The sequence below is a fragment of the Homo sapiens genome, chromosome 3, assembly GCF_000001405.40.
Source record: "Homo sapiens chromosome 3, GRCh38.p14 Primary Assembly".
NCBI lineage: Eukaryota > Metazoa > Chordata > Mammalia > Primates > Hominidae > Homo > Homo sapiens.
Window position 1 is genome coordinate 188010624 of NC_000003.12, and position 13206 is coordinate 188023829.

The 13206-nt window shown below is 38.9% G+C and overlaps 1 long non-coding RNA gene across 1 annotated transcript in view, besides 1 other annotated feature; it reads right to left on the minus strand.

Moving 5' to 3' along the window:
- The window catches only part of LOC107986166 (uncharacterized), a 48325-nt gene that overhangs the window by 16351 nt on the left and 18768 nt on the right, over window positions 1-13206 (minus strand). The window lies entirely within an intron of this gene.
- Window positions 5858-6152: a silencer, noted in NCBI's record as "tiled region #1686; HepG2 Repressive non-DNase unmatched - State 23:Low". NCBI's record gives its function as "represses a minimal TATA promoter and a strong SV40 promoter by Sharpr-MPRA in HepG2 cells {active_cell/tissue: HepG2}" and the evidence as "EXISTENCE:reporter gene assay evidence [ECO:0000049][PMID:27701403]".

The following is a 13206-nucleotide window of genomic DNA, read 5'->3' on the forward strand; positions in this document are numbered from 1 at the left end:
GAGAGCAAAGATCACAAGGCAAAGGACAAAAGCAAAGATCACAAGGCAAAGGGCAAAAGCAGAATTACTGATAAGGGTCTATGGTCAGCGGTGCACGTATTGTCTTGATAAACATCTTAACAACAGAAAACAGGGTTCGAGAACAGAGAACCGGTCTGACTTCAAATTTACTGGGATGGGGTTTTCCCCACCCTAGTAAGCCTGAGGGTACTGCAGGAGACCAGGGCATATCTCAGTCCTTATCTCAGCTGCGTAGGACAGACATTCCCAGAGCGGCCGTTTATAGATCTCCACCCCATCAGGAACACAATTCTTTTCACAGAGTATTAATATCAATATTCCTTGCTAGGAAAAGAATTTAGCGATATCTTCCCTACTTGCACATCCATTTATAGGCTCTCTGCAAGAAGAAAAATATGGCTTTTTTTGCCCGACCCTGCAGATAGTCAGACCTTATGGTTGTCTTCCCTTGTTCCCTAAAAATCGCCGTTATTCTGTTCTTTTTCAAGGTGCACTGATTTCACAGTGTTCAAACACACATGTTTTACAATCAATTTGTACAGTTAACACAATCATCATAGCGATCCTGAGGTGATGTACATCCTCAGCTTACGAAGATAACAGGGTTAAGAGATTAAAGTAAGACAGGCATAAGAAATTACGAAAGTATTATTTGGGAACTAGTAAATGTCCATGAAGTCTTCACAATTTATGTTCTTCTGCCATGGCTCCAGCCAGTCCCTCCGTTTGGGGTCCCTGACTTCCCACAATACCACTGTTTTTTTGTTTGTTTGTTTGTTTTGCTTTGTTTTTGAGACAGAGTCTCCCTCTCTCACCCAGGCTGGAGTGCAGTGGCATGATCTCGGCTCACTGCGACCTCCACCTCTCAGGTTCAAGCAACTCTCCTGCCTCAGCCTCCCTAGTAGCTGGGACTACAAGCGTGTGCCACCACACCCGGCTAATTTTTGTATTTTTAGTAGAGATGGGGTTTCACCACGTTGGCCAGGCTGGTCTTGAACTCCTGACCTCAGGTCATCTGCCCACCTTGGCCTCCCAAAGTGCTGGGATTACAGGCATGAGCCACCATGCCTGGCCAATGTACCACTGTTTATTCACCCATGGAAGAACATCTTCTGGGTTGTTTCCAGTTTGGGGCTAGTATGAATGGAGCTGTTGTATGCTTTCACATACAGGATTTTGCATGAGCACAAATCTTTATTTCTTTGAGATAAATAATCAAAAGTGCAATTGTTGGGATGTATGGTAGTTGCATGTATCCTTTTTAAAAAAGGTATTTTCAACCTATTTTCCAAAGAGATTGTACCATTTTACATTCCCTCTAGGAATTTTAAGTGATAGAGTTCTCTCTATGCATATTCCAGATATTAATCCCTCATCATATATGTGATTTGCAAGTATTTTCTTCCCAGTCTGTAACTTGTCTTTTCATTCTGTTAACAGGGCCTTTTCACAAGGCAAAAATTTTTAATTGTGATAGTGTACTATTTATCACTTTTTACTTTTATGGATTGTGTTTTGGTGTCAAGTTTAAGAGCTCTTTGCTCAGCCATTGATCTTGGAGATTTTCTCCCTATAGGTTTTTCTCTTTTTCTGGTTTTTTGTTTCATGCTTTATATTTAATTCCATGATCTGTGTTTAGTTAATTTCTACATAAGGGTGAAACTTAGGTTGAAGTTTTTGTGTTTGTTTGTTTGTTTGTTGCTTGCCAACAGACGTCAAATTACTGCAGCACCATATGTTGAAAGGCTATCTTTATTGAATTGTTTCTGTACCTTTTAAAAAATTGATGAGAGATACGTGTGAGCCTATGTATGTGATTTCTATTCTATTCCATTGATCCATGTGTCTATCTCTCTACAAACACTATACAGTATAGATTATTGTAGCTATAAGTCTTAAAATCCAGTGGACATATTCCTCCTACTTAATTCTTGTTTTTCAAAGTTGTTTTAGCTATTTAAATTCCTTTGTCTTTCCATATAACTTTTAGCATAATCTCATTGACACGTACTGAAAATCTTGCTGTGATTTGGAGAGAAACTGTGACATATCTGCATATCAATTTGGGAAGAATTGATTATTCATTTTTACTATGGTGGTAGGCAGAATATGACTGTTGAAAGAGCTCTGCATTCTAATCCCTGGAACATGTGAATATGTTACTTTCTATGGGAAAGGAGACTTTGCAGATATGGGACTTTGATCTCCCCTCAGAGCCTTCATAAAGAACATGCCTTGCCAACACTTTGATTTTAGCCCTGTAAGATCCAGTATCAAACTTCAAAAATCCAAAACTGTAAGAAAATAAGTATTTTTTAAGGCACTAAGTTTGTGGTCATTTGTTAGAGCAGCAATAGGAAACTAATACAATTATGTTGAATTTTCAAATCAATGAACAAAAATGGTGTCTCTCCATTTATTTAGACCGTCTTTGATTTTTTTCTCAGCATTTTATAGCCTTCAGCATACAAGTCTTGTAAGTATTTTGTTAAGTTTATACATAGTGTTTCAGTTTTTGAGCAATGATAAGTGGTATTGTATTTTTAATTTCAATGTCCATGTGTTCATCGATAGTATATAGTAATGTAATTCATTTGTTTATGTTTATCTGCATTCTGTAACCTTGCTAAATTCACTTCTTCTTGGAGCCTTTTTTTCGTAGACTCCTTGTAATTTGCTATAAAAGTCTATCATCTACAAATCAAGGCAATTTTATTTTGTTTTTCTAATCTTTATTCTTTTTGTTGCCTTTTCTTACCTAATTGCACTGGCTAGAACTAGAACCAAAACTATGTTGAATAAAAGTGGTGAAAGTGAAAATTCTCGCCTCATTCCTGATCTTAGGGGGAAAGGATTCAGTCTTTTATCATTATGTATAATATAAGCTAAAGGGATTTGTAGACATATTCTTTGGTTTCTGAGAGTTTTTTTAAATCACAAATTACTGTTGAATTTTGTCAAACGCTTTTTCTGCATTGACTAATATAATCATATATTATATTTTTCTTTCTACTTAGCTATTCTAGCAGCCTTTCATCCTCAAAATAAACCTTTAGTAGCCTTGAATTCATAAAATAAACCCCACTTGGTTATGGTGCATAATTCCTTTTATAATTGCTGATTTTATTTGAGATTTTTTTCTATTTTGTCCCTTTCTATTTTTGAAATTTTTTTTGCTTCTATATTTTTGGGAGATGTTAGTCTGTCGTTTTCTTTATTTGTACTGTCTTTGTCTGGTTTTAAAATCAAAGCAATGCTACCTTTATAAAGTGAATTAAGGATTATTCCTTCCTTTTCTATTTTCTAGGACATATGTAGAACTGGTGTTAACTCTTCTTTAGTTTGGAAGAACTCTTTAGTGAAATCATTTGTAACTAGAAATTTCCTTTTTGGGAGTTTTTAAAATTCTGAATTCAATTTCCTTAATAATTATAGGGTTATTCAAATGATCTATTTCATACTAGATAAGTTGTGGTAGTTTATGGTTTTAAGGAATTGATCCATTTTATTTGTCAAATTTTTGTGTGGAGAGTTGTTCATAGTATTCCCTTATTATTCTTTTAGTGATTCAGTCTGTGATGATATCCTCTGTTTTTTTTCCTGCTATTAATAAGTTGTTTTCCTTCTCTTTCTCTCCATCTCTCCATTTCTATCTCACTCTCTTGCACTTTGATAGAGGTTTATCAATTTTATTGATCTTTCCAAAGAACAAGCTCTTTGTTTCATTGATTTTTCTATTGTGTTGTAGTTTTCTATGTCATTGGTTTCTGTTATCTTTATTATTTCTTTCCTTCTGCTTACTTTGAGTTTATTTTGCTTTACTTTTCTTTTTTTTTTTTTTTGTTGAGGCAGGAACTTGCATGATTGACCTGAGACTTTTTACTAATATAAGCATTTAGTACTATAAATCAATCTCTCTCTCTCTCTCTCCCCCAGGACTTCTTTAGTTGTATCCCACATATTTGCAGTGTATTCTTATTTTCATTTAGTTCAATGTATCTCACTTTGTTCTGTGTTTTGTTTTGTTTTTTTTCACTCAGTGCAGTGTAATTTTCCTTGAGACTTTTTCTTTGACCCATAGATTATGTAAACTGTTGGTTAGTTTCCCAGTGTTTTGAGATTTTCCTATTATCTTTCTGTTATTAATTTCTAATTTGATTTTATTGTGGTCAGAGAACACATTCCACATGATTTTAATTACTTGTTTATCTTATGGTCCAGAACATGCTCTACATTGGTATATATTCTGTGGTGCCTGAAAACAATGTGTATACAGCTGTGTTTTAGTGCAGTGTTATGTAAACGTGGATTAGATCCTGTTGGTTGATAGTGGTGTTGAATTCTATATCCTTGATGATTTTCTGTCTAGTTGTTCCATTAATTATTGAAAGTTGGTTATTAAAATGTCCAACTATAGTTATAGATTTGTCTATTTCTTCTTTCAGTTTTATCAGTTCTTATTTCACATATTTTACAACATTATTGTATGGTGCATACACATTTAGGATTGCTATATCTTCTTGATTGAGTGACCCCTTTATCATTATATAATGTTCCTCATTGTCTCTGGTAATTTTCTCTGCTCTGGAGTCCACCTTATCTGATATTAATATAGACAGCCACTTTTGCTTTCTTTTGATCCATATTTTCCAGATATATCTTTTAATATTCTTTTACTTTCAAATTACTTTTACTTTTATATTTGAGGTGAATTTCTTACAGACAACAAATATCAGGTCATGTCTTTTAATCCACTCTATCAATTTCCATCTTTTAATTGGTATATTTAGACCATTAACATTTAATATAATTATTGATTTGCTAGAATTTGTCTGCCATTTTCTTTATGTTTTCTACTTGTTCTGTTTTTTGTTGCTCTCCTTTTTTCCTACCTTTCTATAGGCTGCTTGAACATTTTTTAATTCCATTTTAATTTATTTATAATGTTTTTGAGTGTTTCATTTTGTAAAGCTTTTTGAATGGTTGTTTTAGGTAGTATATTACATATACATATCATAATCTACTAATGTCATAATTTTTTCTGTTTGAGCGAAGTATAGAAACCTTACTCATCTTTACTTCCCTTTATCCTTCCCTATTTTAATCCAAATGTCTTAAATATTTTCTGTACATACATTTGAGACCATGTCAGACAACGTTATGCTTTGCGTAATGTTAAAACAAAGTGTAATGTTGATATGGTTTGCTATATTTTGCTTCAACAATCAAGCATAATTTGGAAAACTCAAAAGAAGAAAAAAGGTCTTTCGCATTTGCCCATACTTTTCCTTACTATATTCTTTCTTCCTTCCTTATATAGTAAGGTTTCTTCTTTTACCCTTTCTTTCTGTTCAAAGTACATCCATTCATTATCCTTTTAGGGACATTCTGCTGGTGACAAATCCTCTTAGTTTTTCTTCATTTTAGAATGTCTTGATTTCCCCTTCACTCCTAAAGGATATTTTTGCTGGATATAGGATTCTGGATTGACAGTTGTTTTCTTTCAAAACTTGAAAAATATTAGTGCTACTTCCTTCTAGCCTATGTGGTGTCTGATGAGAAATCTACATCTTTTAAATTGCTTTTCTCCTATAGGGAAGGTATCATTTTTCTCTTGCTGCTTTCAAATGATTTTCTTTGTCTTTAGTTTTCAGAAGTTTGACTATGGTATGTCTTGGTATGAATTTATTGTGAGTCTATTTCCTTTGAGGCTTAGCCAATTTTGTGAATCTGTCTTTTGCCAAATCTGAGAAGTTTTCAGCTGGCTTTTTTTTTTTTTTTTTTTTTGACACTATTTTTTCAGACAAAGGGGTGTCACTTCATTACTTCCAGGTGGAAGTAAAAATCCAAGTTCTACACTCAGCCTCAGTTTACATATGAGGGTGGTGGCTTGTCATTACCGCTGGGCAAGAGGAGAAATTCTAGCTCTCAATAGGCCTGCACTGATACCTCCTGGCTAGTAGGAGCAGGAATGCCTCATTGCTGTTTCCCATATTGTCTCCATTGACACCAAAAAGAAGGTGGTAAATCTCTGACTCTCCACCAGGCTAACTTTCCCACCATCTCTGTGGGGAGGGGACAGGTGCCTCGTTACTGCTGGGTCGAACTGGGAGTCTGGGCTATCCATGTGGTCTCCACTTACACAATGATGGTGAGGGAGGGTGTTTGATTACCAGTCCGCAGGGAGGAACATTCTAGCCCCTTACTCGGCTTTTTCTAATATCACCCCAGTGCAGGGAAGAGTTTGAGGACAGCCCAGTGAGGGCAGAAGTCTAGGTTTTCCATTTGGCTTTTGCTGGCATGAGTGAGAGATCATGCCATGAGTGAGAGTGGTTATTAAAATGTCCAACTATAGTTATAGATTTGTCTATTTCTTCTTTCAGTTTTATCAGTTCTTATTTCACATATTTTACAACATTACTCTATGGTGCATACACATTTAGGATTGCTATATCTTCTTGATTGAGTGACCCCTTTATCACTTTGGTTGAGATAGAATGGCTATCATCTAAAAGATTTCGGTCTTGCCATGCTTTCCCTTTCCTGATCCTTTGGCTAAAGACAGCAGGCTTTTGCTGAGGCTTTTCTGTCCGTACTCATAGGTGCTTCTAGTTACTGGCTTCAGCTCCAAGTCTGGAATATAAGAGACACAAGAAAGCTGGGGGAACTCACCGTTATGTTGTTCCTTGGCTTTTGAACCCCTAGTTAGCCTGCCTTCTCTTTTCTACCTATCAGAATATTCTTACATTTGTTTTGTGTAGAACAGCCAAGGATTTTAGTTGCACTCAGCAGGAGGAAGAGAGAAAAGTGTGTCTACTCAATCTTTCCAGAAGTGAAAGTCTCCACTGAACTTTTGAAATGGTGTTAAAACTGGATTTCTTACCCCAGTGTCTCATCCTTGCAGATAAAGTGTCATACCCTCTTTAAAATACTGAGAGACCATGCCATTTTCCTTTTTGCAAAACTGTCATGAATCTTCATTATTGCCTCTGGAATAATATGTAACATATCTGACTGCTGTTTAAAGTCTTCGTTATGTAACTTTTACCTACCTCTTTAATCTCTTGCTCTTCCCTTCCACAGGACCTAGAATCTCAGTGAATTGGACTTCTGTCGGGATTCCCTGAAAACTCTTCATGGTTTCTTGCTGCCTCAACTTGCTAGTTATTCTGTATACTTAGGACACCCCCCAAAAGTGCAAATTTTTTCTTTCCCATTTAAGGGTCATTTAGAAACTACAACCTATCTTTTCTATTTCCCTTAGAATTATGACCTACGTTATCTGTGGCACTTCTGTGGTGTGGACTGCCTATTGCCTGTGTAGAAGTTACATGTGAATATAAACTTATCTCCACTACTAGATTATAAGATCCTTGAGGGATGAAGCCCTGTATGATTCCTCTTGGCCTTCTCCAAAGGCCTTGGCACAAGGCATGACACAAAATACATGCACAAAGAACATCTGAAGAATTAAAAACTCAGTAACTCACATGGTTCCCTACATGATAGTCCATCCAAAAAGTCTAATTGACTTTGCATCTTTAAGTATTTAGGGAGCTGTTTTCTAGGACTGGCTCTTGAGGCAAGGATTGACTTAGCATCTAAAGAGAGCTGGTTTCTTGTGTAATTGGAGGGAAAGCACTACTCTCTGTACCAAGCCAGATCTCTAGGGAAAGACTTTTTGTGGCTTTCAAAACCATAAAGACTGTCTTGTAAGACTACAGGTTGATTATGAAAAGATGGGACGTAGACAGAGATCCAGAAATCTGCTGATTTATAGAAATAACACCTCCTATCATCCAAATTAGTAGTTCAAATTCTTCTTAGCAGTGCCAAACTAAAAGGGCATATATTTTAAAATCAGGGTGGAAAAGTGATCTTCTTCATCTATTCTTAGCTCAGAACATATCTATATCCAACAATATACTTGAGATTGGCTTTGCATTGAGAGATCTATCCTGGGAATGAATATTTTCCAAGGAGCTCTCCCACTATCACAAAATAGGAGAAGGTAAAGTGGCTAGGAAGGGAGGAAGAGCTAGGGATGAGAACAAGAGGAGAGAAGAGGGAAAGTTTTCCATTCTTGTAATTGTCAAGAGCCACTCCTTGATGATTCCGCCTCCTCTCCTTGTCTGAGCTTCTTTTCTCCCCATCATGTTTGCTGCAGTATCTTTCTACATGGTCTCCCAGTCTGCATGTTTCTCTGCATCACTCCATGCTAAACACAAACACCAAAATCATCTCCCTAAAACTGGACTCTGCACCATCTACATTTTCAAAGAAACCTTATCTCTTCCTTATGGCACAGTAATCATGTCCAGATACCTTCACCAGGCACTCATGGTATATAGCTTTACCTCTCACTATCCCAGTTACACCTAAGCAGGTAAAAGAAGGATGGGAAAAATACAGTCTCTAAGTCAGACCTGAGCTCAACTCCAGCTCAGTCTCGTAATAGTTTAATGATCTTAGGTAACATATTTTACCTTGAGGAGTCTCCGTTTCATTAAAAACTTGATTTAAAATAATAACTCAAAGGGCTGTCATGAGGAATAAGCAACGTGGTGAATAAATTATATAGCATGTAATAGGTGCTCAATAAATGGTAGCTACTTGTACTATGCTCAACCACATTGAACAATTTCCCTTTTGCCAAAATACCCCTGAGTCTTTTCTCAGGCCAATGGCCCTGGCAAGATTGCCAAATGTGCCTACAGAAAGAATACATTATGCCAGGAGGAAAGGAGACTGGCTGAGGATGAAAGGTGGGTGGGGATGAGACAGCATCCACATAAGGTAAGCTGCCCCTTGTTAGAAAGAAATGATGAATGGAGCTCTGAGAGAGGCGCAGGTGAAGGGGCAGGTCCACAAATTCAGAGTGGCCAGGCAGGGTCAGGCAGTTTCAGCATCTGATTCTCTTCCCTGACCATTAGAGCAATCCTCGGCCTGTCTTTCCACAACTAAGGAGGACACATCTCTTATCTCTTCATGCAGATGAATTGTCTGTGTTTCTTTAACAGAGAAGACATTCAGATGCTATATCCAGCACAGAAGAGAGGTTAGCAGAGGGCAACTCGGCTTGGGGTTTTAAATCTGAAGTATATTCACTATGGCTTGTACAGTTATAGTACCCATTATGTATGTATGTTATTATAAGGGGCTCTAGGAAATAGTGTCAGGAGACTCACTTCATAAGTATGTTTATTATTATCTCCGCTGTTCAAGCCACACAAAATAAATGTCTGGCATTTCCAGAAATTGCTATCGATTCAGCAGCAGATTTTACAAGGCCAATCAATAACAGTTTCCTCCTTTCCCCCTCCCACAGTGTGTATTTATTTGTGATGAAGCTGTCTGTTCCTCCTGCGCTTTCTAGTGCTTATAATTGGTCCAGAATAAACGGATGATTTCATCTTTTTCCAGGAAAAAAAGAGAGAATAAAAAACCTGCTATTAAAAATATCTTCCTCCCCCAGCCAAAAACAAAACTGTGTGTGTGAGGGAGAGAGATAGAGATTGAGATAGATACATCAATATAGATACAGATATAGATAGTGACTGAATTCAAGCATGTCTGCCAGAGTGAGACCTTCAGCACATAAGCCACAGTCTGTGATCCTCTTTTCCCTGTACCGAAGTCATGCTAGATTAGGAGATTAGGGGCCCAGAAAGGCATATAGACCCTTTCAGTCATGAGTTCTTGTATTATGATGCCTTAGTATTTTTCAGTGTCACCAACTATCTAACAGAGGCTGAAAGCAGGCAAGAACTTCAGAGTTTACCAACCCCAGCCTTTCTTTTTTATTATTATTATTATTATTATACTTTAAGTTTTAGGGTACATGTGCACAATGTGCAGGTTAGTTACATATGTATACATGTGCCATGTTGGTGAGCTGCACCCATTAACTCATCGTTTAGCATTAGGTATATCTCCTAATGCTATCCCTCCCCGCTCCCCCCACCCCACATCAGTCCCCAGAGTGTGATGTTCCCCTTCCTGTGTCCACGTGTTCTCATTGTTCAATACCCATCTGTGAGTGAGAACATGCGGTGTTTGGTTTTTTGTCCTTGAGATATACTGAGAATCATGATTTCCAATTTCATCCATGTCCCTACAAAGGACATGAACTCACCATTTTTTATGGCTGCATAGTATTCCATGGTCTTTCTATAGATTAAAGCATGGAAGCTCAAAAAGGAAATACAGGAGGTATAAACTCAGGTCTCTTACCTCCTTGTCCGATAATTTTCCCTGCTGCCCTACCATACCTGCCACAGTACCTGACTCTATGTCTGTCACCAGAGAAAAGGGATCCTCGTACACATTTGTCAAGGAACTTCACTGTGGCAGACAGTGGTGATTAGGATTCTCTTCCCCACTGTAACTCACTAGCTCGCTATGGTCAAACAGCTAGTCATTCATTCCCTGGCCTTTGGTGTCAGAACAGTGTCCAGCCTTCCTTGCCTCTTAAAGTCTATGGACAGTCTGCTTCACCAGCACCACCCCCATGTCCTGGACTAGCCATGGCTCTGAGCAGAGCCAGAGCAAAACACCACTGGCCGGCAAAGGGGTGTGGGAGCATGTGGGAGTCATGCCCAGCCTGGGCTGCTGGTCAGAAGTCTGTGCTTAGAAGAATAGTTTTCTCCTTGTTATGGGCTGAATTGTGTCATCACTACCTTTTCCGCCCCCAAGAAAAAGATGCTGAAGTTCTAACCCCCAGGACCTCAGAATGTAACCTTTCTTGGAGACTGGATCTTTATAGAGGTAATCAAGTTAAAATGAGATGGTTAGGGTGAACTCTCTTCTAATACAGCTGGTGTCCTTGTAAAAAGGAGAAATGTCGACACTGAGAGAAACACCCACACAGGGAGAATGCCATGTGAAGATGAAGGCGGAGATCAGAGCAATGCTTCTTCAAGCCAAGAAACACCAAAGCGTTATCAGCAAACCACCATGAGCTGGAAGAAAAGCCTGGAGCAGGTTCTCCTTCCCAGCCCTTAGAAGGAAGCAACCCTGCTGACGCCTTGGTTTCAGACTTCTGGCCTCCAGAACTGTGAGATGATACATTTCCTTTGTTTACAATGGCCCCAGCAAACTAATAACACCTCTCTTTCTCAACAGCTAGTGTTCAGAGGGTGCAGCACTGAGGAATCCAGAACTTAAAGTCAGAAAAATGTTTTAACTAGACTGGAGGCTCAGAAGCCATCTTTGATTGCTCCTCCCCAGATAAACACAGCGGCAGGAGAGAAGGCATGAATACACAGGTAGAGTACATAGCCCCAACTTCCCACACAAAACACACTTTTGGCCGGCCGCGGTGGCTCATGCCTGTAATCCCAGCCTTGTGGGAGGCAGAGGCAGGCAGATAACCTGAAGTCAAGAATTCCAGACCAGCCTGGCCGACAAGGCGAAACCCTGTCTCTACTAAAAATACAAAAAATTAGCTGAGCATGGTGGCACATGCCTGTAATTCCAGCTACTCGGGAGGCTGAGGCAGGAGAATCACTTGAACCCGGGAGGCAGAGGTTGCAGTGAGCTGAGATCGTCCCACTGCACTCCAGCCTGGGTGACAGAGTGAGACTCTGTCTCAAAAACAAACAAACAAAAACAAAACAAAACATTTTTTACAAATGTGGAATAAGTAAAATACTGCCCAAACTACATAAAATCAGTTGTCTGTGATGCTATATGGTAAGCATAAGTCATGTACAATTTCTGCTACAATACAGTAAAGTACACATGTTTTTCACCAGGGTAAAATGTAAACATAAAGAAAACCCCTGAGCACCTTGGCAAAAATAACACTTCATAAGACCTATTTTACCTCTTTTTTTCCTGGGTACACAGGATGGCTGTACTCCCCGCTCTCCTTTGCTGCTAGAATGGGCCACATAACTGATTCTGGCCAATAGACTCTAAGTAGAACTGACCTAAGTGGAAGCAAAGAAGAGGGATGTGAGTCCTCCATCCTGCCTTTTCCCCTGTCACAGAGAAGTCATATGTCTAGATAGTGGAGATGCAAAATTAACCTAGACTGGACCCTTAAGTCACTGATTGAAAGGGACCTGCCCTGGAGAACCACCTGTCTGTCAGTGAAGGTTCTGATAGATAGAACTAGGTGTCTCTGAGATTAGGTGAGAATGATCTACCCTAACACTAAGCCTAACCCAACTGATGATGGCCCCTTGTGATCTGTCTTTGACCAGTATACTATTCAAAAACAAGCCATTTGGCTGGGCACAGTGGCTCATGCCTGTAATCCCAGCACTTTGGGAGGCCAAGGTGGGCAGATCACTTGAGGTCAGGAGTTTGAGACCACCCTGGCCGGTATGGTGAAACCCCATCTCTACTAAAAATAAAAATATTAGCCGGGCGTGGTGGCTCATGCCTGTAGTCCTAGCTACTTGGGAGGCTGAGGCAGGAGAATCACTTGAACCCGGGAGGTGGAGGTTGCAGTGAGCCATGATTGTGTCACTACACTCCAGCCTGGGCAACAGAGAAAGACTCCATCTCCAAAAAAAAAAAAAAAAGCCACTTGAAAATTATTAACTGGGCATTTCTCATGTTTCTTGTTTGCTGAGCTCACAGCCATTTTGGTGGAGCAACCCACCAAACCATGTTCATGTGATTCCTGCCTGAAATCACAGACTCCAGTCCCCATGATAAAGGAACTGTATTCCTAACTAGTCCTCCCTTAAGGAAAAAGGATGCTTCCTACCTCACAAAGCAGACATTCTCAGACCAGCCCTGATTGTTAGAAATGTATTTCTTCAGACCACCTAAAGCCAGACCCTCTGTCACTTTCACACACTCGCCTTCTCAGTTCTACCCTCTAGAGCTCGGGAATAACAAGAAACTAGTCCATACTTCTCCCAAACTTCTTTCCCCTAGGCTGATGTTTTAATCAATGGAGATTTCTTTCCAGAAGCCTTGTTAATCAAGCTATCACTAATCAGTCAAATCCCAATAGAATGCAGGCCAAAACATTGTCCCAATTATTTTGTTGTGTTAGGATTTTATAATATAAAAAATATATATTTTAAAGAAATGGAATTCCACCTGGGGCCTAACATTATTTCTGTTTTAGAAAGAGTTGCATCATAGTAATATTTGTTTTATTTTGCTTTATTGGGATTGAACCTGCCATTATGCTGCTGAGTGTCTCAGTATGAATGTTGGAAA